The sequence below is a fragment of the Homo sapiens genome, chromosome 4 (genome assembly GCF_000001405.40).
Source record: "Homo sapiens chromosome 4, GRCh38.p14 Primary Assembly".
Lineage (NCBI taxonomy): Eukaryota > Metazoa > Chordata > Mammalia > Primates > Hominidae > Homo > Homo sapiens.
In genome coordinates, this window is record NC_000004.12 from 165,505,105 (window position 1) to 165,514,978 (window position 9,874).

General features: G+C 42.4%; 1 long non-coding RNA gene across 1 annotated transcript; it reads left to right on the forward strand.

Moving 5' to 3' along the window:
- Positions 1-95: 95 nt before the first annotated feature.
- On the forward strand, positions 96-2,298 carry LOC105377520 (uncharacterized). Its single transcript, XR_939419.2, has 3 exons — positions 96-275; positions 977-1,029; positions 2,215-2,298. It is a non-coding gene; the product is annotated as an uncharacterized LOC105377520 (long non-coding RNA).
- Positions 2,299-9,874: the final 7,576 nt, after the last annotated feature.

Below are 9,874 nucleotides of genomic sequence, written 5' to 3' on the forward strand. Positions count from 1 at the left end.
GGGACTACAGGCGCCCGCCACCACGCCAGGCTAATTTTTTGTATTTTTAGTAGAGACGGGATTTCACCGTGTTAGCCAGGATGTTCTTGATCTCCTGACCTCGTGATCCACCCGCCTCGTCCTCCCAAAGTGCTGGGATTACAGGCGTGAGCCACGGCGCCCGGCCGTAGATAAGAATCTTAGAGCTGTTAAATATCCCTATGCTAGATCAAGATGGGTCCAGGGACCTAAAGTTGGCTGGAGCCCGCTGGTGGGATTCAGTGCGGAGCAAACAGGTAAGGTAACTGGCTTGCCGTTATACAAAATGTTATTTTTTCTTTTGTTTTTTGTTTTATTTTGTTTTGTTTTGAGACAGAGTCTCGATCTGTGGCCCAGTCTGGAGTACAGTGGCACTATTTCAGCTCACTGCAACCTCCGCCTCCCGGGTTCAAGCAATTCTCCTGCCTCAGCCTCCCAAGTAGCTGAGATTACAGGCACCTGCCATCACGCCCGGCTAATTTTTTTGTACTTTTAGTAGAGACAGGGTTTCACCATGTTGGCCAGGCTGGTTTTGAACTCCTGACCTCAAGTGATCTGCCCACCTCGGCCTCCCAAAGTGCTGGGATTACAGGCGTGGGCCACTGCACCCAGCCAAAGCTATCGTTTAGTAATAGTTTTAATATCAACTATAGCAGTATTTGAATAAATTAAAATCATTAAATAATTATTTATATTTTATCTCCTCATTGCTATTTAATTGGCAACTATTTAATACTGAGGCCAGAATGATAAGATGAGAAAAGAGAGATAAAACCACAATGCATTTATATTTCAAGAATTGTGAGCTTAATGTCCACCCTGCATTGTTAGAAGCTGCTTGGAACAGTTGGTGTCTCTGAAATGTTATCACCTAAGGGTCCACGTGGAGATGACAGTGATAGAAGATGAAGAAACTTTGTCCAGATGTTCTGGGTAACTGGAATGTGAATATCCACAGGTATTTGTTGAAAGAATAAATGCATGCCAAGAGAAGGGGAGGCACAGTGGAAGGTGAGTGGCACATACTTGAAAATGGCCCAACTTTCACCAGTAAATAAAATCAGCAGCATGCAATCGGACACTTACTGGGCAAAAAACACTTGCTGATGAAATAGCCATAACGTTTTCCTTTATACTCACTTAACATATCTGTGTTGCAATTGCTACAAAACTAGGAGAAATGTGGTTTTTTCCTCATGTTTCTTTTTTATATAATTTTTCAGAATTAAACAATGCCTAGCACTTTGTCTTGAAACTGATGTGGCTGAAATACTTTTCATGAACTTAGGAACTAACTGACTAAGGAATAGGATATGCAATGAATGATTGAGAAATCACTAGTTGATTATCATAAACCAAAACTCAATACATGTACAAAGTATGTAAACTGGAAAATGATCCAATGCCTTTTTTTTTTTTTTGAATAGCTGAATCAGTGGTTGAGTTTGTCAAGTTTCATGAGTTTGACTGTCATCACAATGCAGCGTTTGCATAGTCCTGACTACATGACTTACAATTTTCCAGTGAACCCTCTGGCTAAAACTGCTCTTTCTTCTTACCCACATTTACACTAATATTTATTCTAGAAATTCCTGAAAAATCAGTCCTGACACTACCAGGCTGACTTCTGTTCTCTGCCTTGTCGTGGAGCTATCTAAAAGCAGCCGGCCATGGTCATTCACCTATAGTTACCCTTTGCTCCAGAAACTTCGCTGCAGCTTCCCCTGTGTTTATTTTAAACCTTAAATTTGAAGAGCAAGATGATGAGAAAAATAGCATTGAGTCTAACCAGGGCTTCATAAATGTGTTGCCACGGCTTATCTCACTACATGAACCACTGCTGTGGGATTTGGGGTCTGGTTAGGGAAGATTAAAGCGGTGGGTGGTGCAGCATTCTTTGCTTAAAACCTAAAATACAACTCCTTCTGCATTAAATACACAGAGGTATTTCAAAGCCAAGTATGTGTGTAATTAAAGTAAGAAAGTGCCAGCTTTCTGTGTGCACCTCAAGCTTCAGACAGCCACATGTGCTCTTTGTCAAGCCTTGGGAGGGCCAACAAATACACTGAGCTGCCAGGAAGATGTGAAAAGAAGCATTAGATGCTGGAGTTCCAGTTGAATCCTTTGGCAGTGAACAGCCCTGCAGGCTCATGCCCGCACAAACTTGGTTATGCATCTCCTTCCTTTTATTCACAGACACAGAGTGAAGATACAGCTCCTGGTAATTTCAGCACAAGGCTCTCAATTCTTAACTGGGGCAGCAGGGAGCTGGCATCCGCATAAGCTGGATATGGCTTACTTGAGTGAATGGATCGCGTGCCCGGTATTGACATCCCAGATTCTTTAGGGTTGTACCTAAATAAAAAGATGGAAAAGGAGAAAGTCTCTTTTTTTTCCATCCAGGAATCACTTTCAAACCCCGTATCATTATTCATGAGTTTTTGCAACGTAAGCATGGCGCCCCTTTCACTTGCATTTTTACTTTCTGTTTTCCTAATCACCTGTCTCTTGGGTACATTTTATCTGTCCCAAGCATCCTTACCTTCCCTTTGCCTGTCTTCTTTCCTTCTCTTCTGTCTCCCCTGTCTGTACGTCTTTGCATGCTCTCTCTCTTCCTCTCTGGACCTCTCTGGGTCAGGAAGGCATTTAGCGAGGAAAGCATCTGAGGCCAAACAGCATAGATTTTCTCTTCCTCCTCCTCACAGGTTCTTTCTCTGGAAGGGGGCTTCAGAGGAGAGGATCTTCTTTAGCTCCATCCTCTTGCTGGGCAGCTTGCTCTCCAGACAATTCCCTTGAACTTTTCCACAGCCCTAGCCTTCATAACTCCCCAACCCCAGCCCTGACCCCAAGATTCCAGGTCCTAACTCTGGGCTCTGCCCTGGCTTGTCTGAAATCAGGTGTCCTGGATGAAACAGAAAGTCAGTCAAGAGTTAGGTTGCTTCCCTCACCACTGACAGATATGTGAAACTTCGACCAACTAATTCGAACTCAGAAGATCAGGAGTATGGTAGGATCGGAAGAGCCTGGGACTGGGCTCGGAAGATCTGCAGCTTGTCTAATAAAGGAGCTTGGCACCTATAGGAATCTCAGTCTCCTCATATTTAACTAGAAGACAGTTGAGCTTCTATTCAAATATTGATTAAAGTTGTTTTCCTGATAACCTCATAAGTCTACAAAGGAAATTTCCTATGGAATGTAAGAGAGAGTCAAAAGGGGAGGCAAATTAAAATCTTTATGTTGTGATATTGAGTATGTTTTGTTTAAAATGTGTCATGACTCAGAAATAGCTTTGTACTGCTCAGCAAATCCTGGCCATAAAAGAGCTGTGACTCCTAAATATTAGTGATGTTGACTCTTTGAGCAAGACAAGCAATCAAGTCCTTGGACATGTCCGCTCCACCGCCACACTCCTGCAGAGTGAATCCTAGAAATGCAAAGATGCCGCTGGGTTTGACGCAACAGCTATGGGCAGAGGAATCAGTGAAAACTGGCACTGATATTGGAGGGTGGGAGCAAGGTAGTGGGGGGCAGGGAGGTGACAGGCTGCCCTTGGTGTCAAATCCAAACTGTGGGGTGACGCCCTGAGTCCTTTAGATATAGGAGGTATGTCTATATCTGTATCTGTCTATATCTATCTATGTCTATGTCTGCATCTGTGTCTGTGTCTAGCCCTAAATCTATATCTATCGCTATCTATATCTACATCTATTATCTATCTATCTATCATCTATTATCTATCTATCTATCTATCTATCTATCTATCTATCTATCTATCTATCTATCTATCTCTGTGTCTTTGTCTGCATCTGTGTCTGTGTCTAGCCCTAAATTGAAATCTATATCTACATATCTATCTATTATCTATCTATCTATCTATCTATCTATCTATCTATCTATCATCTATCTATCTTCTATCTACCTATCATCTATCTATCTATCTATCTATCTATCTATCTATCTATCTATCTATCTATCATCTATCTATCTAATCTATCCATGCAGCTATACCCAGGACTTGTTAGCACCTTATTCGCTAGCAACCACATCGACTGGGGGCTGGGGGATACCAGAACTCTGAGGGGACCTGGAATCAGAGGTGTGAGAGAAGAGGATAGGTAGGCAGATGGTGCTGCTCTGCTTTTAACATTATCTATGTTGAACAGACTTGCTTTTCATTTTTAATAACCTCATGTTAACAGTGTCTGGTTCTTAGAGTGAGCTGGAATAAGCTATCTTCAAAACTTCTCCCCACCATTTAGGAGGCATTTTGAAATAGTTTTTCTGCTTACTGATCAGAATAGTGTCAAAGAACAAATGAGAGTATGTGCAAATGCTACTGCAGCATTGACATCTATGAGAGTATGACGGTGCATACTTCTGTATATTTATGTGTGCCAAGTAATAGCAAAACAGTTAAGAGGCTATTGGGGGAAACTTGTGCATAATTTCTTGGGAAAAAAGTTTTCCTGAATTTTAAAAGGATAATTTTATTTTCTTGCAGTGGGTGGTTTTGCCCAATGCCAAAAACAAGTATGTAACAGTGTCCCAGCAGGGAAAAGCCACTCTGCCTCAGGCTGTTTTGTCCTAATATGTAGCCACAAATATTTCTCATATTGTAAATACCCTTTGTAGAATTTAGATCATGTAAACTTTTAGTTTTGAAATATTGCCATTTATGTGAACTTCTGATAATCTTTGAATGTCAGATTTTGTCCTGGCCTTGCAAATTTTTTCTCCCCCTTTTTTAAAAAGACCGTCATTTAGGGGACAAGAACTCAGCCTAGGGATGCTGGTTAGCCAGTGACTAAATATTCCAGGATGCCAACATAAACCTCGACCAACAGCGGGCCTCTGCTGATGTTAGGCAGCTTTTGGCTCTTCACATTTACTGAAAGTCAGACTCCAAAAGGAATTTCTTTCACTCTTCTTTTTCTTTCCTTGTGTATATATACTGATGGACAGAAAGAACTTAGCACAGGGCCTGGGTCATAGTAAATGCTTAACAAAAGCTACCTGTTAAGTCTGTCTCTTGTTTATTACAGGCATTGGCATCCTTTTAACAGTGAAGTACTGTATCTGTGAAAGCATTACAGAATGGTAGGAAAATAAACTTTGGCTGTATATCCAAGGCTTAGAAGGAATTAAGACGGGACAGAAGGAACTCAGGTTGCTGCCATCTGAGAGCAGAAGGGAAAGAAGAGGACATTCCCCAACTCTTCCCATCCTGCTTGGGTTTGGTTTGGCTTGGTTTCCTTTGCAATTTCCATTGGCCCCAGCAAGCATTTAAGCGCTCTGAGTCCTAAGACAGAGTAATGGGATTAAAGCACATGACATATGAAAGAAAATGGCAAAAGAATTTTAGATTTGGTACCAGGGCAAGGATTAGGGCATTTCAGAATTTCTTTGTAAAGCTCTTAGAGATTTTGTGTGAGAGAAGCAACTGCTCTTCGTTGGATTTTAGCTACGGAAGTGGTAGGCAGAGTCACTCCCGCAAGAACAGCACAATGCAATGGGTAATGTTCACTACAATTACCTTTCAGAGAGCGCTAAAGTAGTTTCTTGATGCCCCCCTCCACACTGAGAGTGAGGTGCCAGAGGGCAGATTGCTGGCTGGTGGCACAAGGAGTCATGGGAAGGTCATGGGCTTTGGAGTGGGACATACCTGGCTTCAAATCCACTTATACACTGTGTGAAGTTTGACAAGTTAATGTCTCAGAAACTCAGTTTTATAGCCCCGAGCCAAAAATAAAAACACCTTCCTTGCCTGGTTGTTATGAGAATCCTTTGAGATAAGGTACACAAAACCTCTACAGATAGGCACCAACCAGTGCCGTTTTCCTGGACAAATTCATGATTTAGGGAAAGCAGTCTTTTGCCTTTTAAAAAGACCTACAATAAGATAAACAGACTTAAATATGTTTACAGAGCCATGTAACCAGCTTAATTTACATAAAATAGAAACATTTCTCAGATACATAGCTGGATACTGAAAACTTCAGAACTGTCCTGGCCAAACCCAGAGGAAACCAAATATAGGGTAGGGTTATTTTTTTTTTTCTTTTTCATCACGAAATTAGGAAATGGAGAACAGAAGCCTGTCCATTCTGGTAATAATGTTTGGTAATTCAAGGAAAATAAGACTTCCATTTTGCATTTAGTTCCAGTTTGATACACTTTTGTAGCAGTAGATTTTGGGGAGTTTTAGAATTGTTGTCCAAGACCAGCAATTCATTTTTCCAGAGGTTTCATGGAATCAAGTAATGTCAAAACAGAGAAACTCAGAAATAAGATGAGAAGATTATTTCGAGGCAAAGTAGTGGTGGGATGAATCCTGCCCCCCACCCCGATCCACTCCCAAGACTCAGCTGGTAGTAATCTAGTAATAATTATGATGATAATAGTGAGGATAACAACAGTTAACATTACTGGAGAAGTTACTGTGCAAGAAGGAATGTGTTAAGTACATTTCCTATATTTTCTTTTATCTTTCTTTTTTGCCACAACTATACTTTTATTTATTTATTTTATTATACTTTAAGTTCTGGGGCACATGTGCAGAACTTGCAGTTTTGTTACATAGGTATACTTGAGACAAGAGTCTTGCTCTGTTGCCCAGGCTGGAGCATAGTGGCGCGATCTCGGCTCACTGCATCCTCTGCCACCCGGGTTCAAGTGATTCTCCTGCCTTAGCCTCCCGAGTAGATGGGACTACAGGCACCCACCCACATTCGGCTCATTTTTGTATTTTTAGTAGAGACAGGGACCTTGCCATGTTGGCCAGGCTGGTCTTGAACTCCTGACCTCAAATGATCTGCCCGCCTCAGCCTCCCAAGGTGCTGGAATTACAGGTGTGAGCCACTGCACCTGGCCCATTTCCTATATTTTTTCATTTACTCTCCCTAACAAATCTACGTACTATTTTTAATCCCTGTTCCAAAGTTGGGGAGACCAAAGCATGCTTAAAAACATTGTTAATTAACTAGTGAGAGGCAGACCATGAGGCCTAAGTTTGCAGTCCCTTGTGAGAAGCAGGCACCTAGTGTCTCTGAGATGCGCCTGTGTGAGCCTTCTACGAATAACCTTTTTTAGAATTAATATGAATTTGCTAATTATTTCTACCATTGCAAATTATTTTCCCAACCCACATTGCTGGAGTATTCTTTTAGATTAGGGTTTTTCAACCTTGACCCAACTGACATTTTGGAATTGATCAATTTTTGTCGTATGGGCTGTATTGTATTGCCTGGGTTCAGGCTCTGTTGTTACCAGCCTCAGCACCACACTTTCTTTGTTGGTGTCCCTCAGGCCTGTCCATCCCTTTGTGGCCCTCTCCTCTTTAGCCGGATGGAAGGTGCCCTCTGCTCTCTGCCAAGCCCTGACTGATTACAATACTAAACACAGCAATAGTTTGTTTAGAAATAATGTCTGTGCCTGCCTCTTTAAATTACAGACCCAAGCTCTCTTCCAAAGCCATATTTTTCCAGCCTCTTAAATGAGCAGATGAAGTTTCTGACAGGTTGGCTCTGGGCCACATCAGATGAAGACACGCAGCCTCCTGTTTAGTCTTCTGGATTGATCGTGGTAAAGCAGCACTGGCCTTTGGGAAGAACAGCCTTCCTGTTCAGGAAAAATCCACGTTTGCATCTGTCCGCTCTTTTTTGCTTATGAAATCTCATTTGCCTTCCTCTGCAGTGGAGCACAGGTGAGGAAAATTGACCTCTTTGTAATTTGGAGCCAAACCATTCAGAAAGTATAAATCATTCATTAAGATGGAAATAATTTACATTTCTTGATTGGCCCATAGCAGTTTGAAGCAAATTAGGTTGCCATTAAGCAGCTGTCTTGGAGGTTTGTACCAGGGCTCTGAGGTTCCCTCTGTCCCTCTGAGAATGTAAAGGACTCCTTGAGTACCAGGGCCAGGCTACATCTGGCCTCACTCACTGGAGCATCTCAGGGAGAACTACTGGGGAGCATGAAAAAAGGCCAACTCTATTGATGGTAAAGGCAGCACATAATAAATATTCACTTTCGTCTTCCTTCCTTCCCTCTCTATCTTCCCTAATTTGAAAGGTAAAGAACAGGGCTAGGGGAAAGGAACTCTCAAAGGAAGAGAGAAACATTATAGATCTGGGAGACTGGAGGTGAAGTGGTGGGGTTTGTGGAGTCTCTGTGGCTCCTTTGGCTTTTGGAACTTTGGCTGCAGACTTTTTGGCAGTGTTTGGGTTCTGGGTGCCTTTGAGTGCACCCTTCCCCTATCTCCCCCTTCTCAAGTCTGTTTGGCTGTGTGGAGGTAGTGAGGTGGTGGTTAGTGCCTGGTGGAAAAGAAGCAGAAGCTGCTGTGAAGCTCAAGGGAAATCATTTCTTCCTTTCTGCTAAGACAGATCCTGAGTGCAGGGAGGGAAGCTGCACCCAAGGGCGCTGCCCACTGGCTGGAGCTGGGCTGTTCCTCTCAGGGAGTGAGGAAAGACAGAGGAGGCCCACATCAGGCTTCATAAACAAGAAGCGTCTGAGTTATTGAGAGTACGAAAGGCACATGGGAGGTTAGAACCTCAACCTTAGCAAGGTATTGCATATTCTAAAAAAATCCTTGATATCCCCACCTCCCAACTGGGTGTATTGATGACTGAATAAATGCTAAAGAAAGACTACAGGACGAAAATACCTTAAGTGCTACTTAACCAAAAAATGGAAAACACTTTAAAGTATGTGGGGAGATGAAGGAGAGAATTTAATAATCCATTGGCTTAGTCCTTTTGGGCTGCTAAAACAAAATGCCATGGACTGGGTGGCTTATAAACAACAGAAATTTATTTCTGACAATTCTAGGCACTGAGAAGTCCAAGATCAAAGCACCAGTAGACTCAGTGTCTGGTGAGTGCCTGTGTTCCCAAACACAGTGCCTCTTTGCCATGTCCTCACTCAGTGGAAAGGTGAGGGCCTCTCTGGGGCCTCTTTTATGAGGTCACTAATCCCAATCATGAGGGCTCTGCCCTTATGATCTAATCACCACCCCAAAGGCCCCATGTCTTAATGGGATCACGTTGGGCGTTAGGATTTCAAAATCTGAATTTTAGGGGGACAAAAACATTCAGACCATAGGATTCATTTAGAAACTGTTTCATTTACTTAAATGTGACCTATAGGATACTTTCTATTGGCACATCAGCCATTTTCTTTAGCACTTTACAGAAGTCCACTCTCCTGGGGTACGGAAGTTCCAGCACCTGGCAGGGTGCCGTGGCTCATGCCTGCAATCCCAGCACTTTGAGAGGCCGAGGCAGGCGGATCACTTGAGGTCGGGAGTTCAAGACCAGCCTGGCCAACATGGTGAAACCCGTTCTCTACAAAAAAAACAAAAACAAAAAAACAAACAACAGCAACAAAAATTAGCCGGGTGTGGTAGCACACACCTATAATCCCAGCTACTCAGGAGGCTGAGGCATGAGAATAGCTTGAACCCAGGAGGCAGAGGTTGCAGTGAGCCAAGATGGTGCCACTGTACTCCAGCCTGCATGACAGAGAGGGACTCTGTCTCCAAAAAAAAAAAAAAGAAGTTACAGCATTGGTAGCTTAACCATTTCATTATCTTCAATAATGTTTGATTAATGAGCATTTTCATATACATATAAATATATACATTCAGTTTGATTTTAAGATTCAGTAAAATTCATTTGAATTTACAACAACCTTATGATAACGTATATGGCAAGTATGTTATCTCCATGAGGAAATTGGTGCTTCAAGAAGTTAATGTCTTGCTCTGAATCATACAGCTAATAAGTGCTAGAAGCCGGCTCCTCTGCCAGTGTTTGGTCCTGTGCACTTCCCCCCATTGTGTACTATTTCCCCTGAAAAT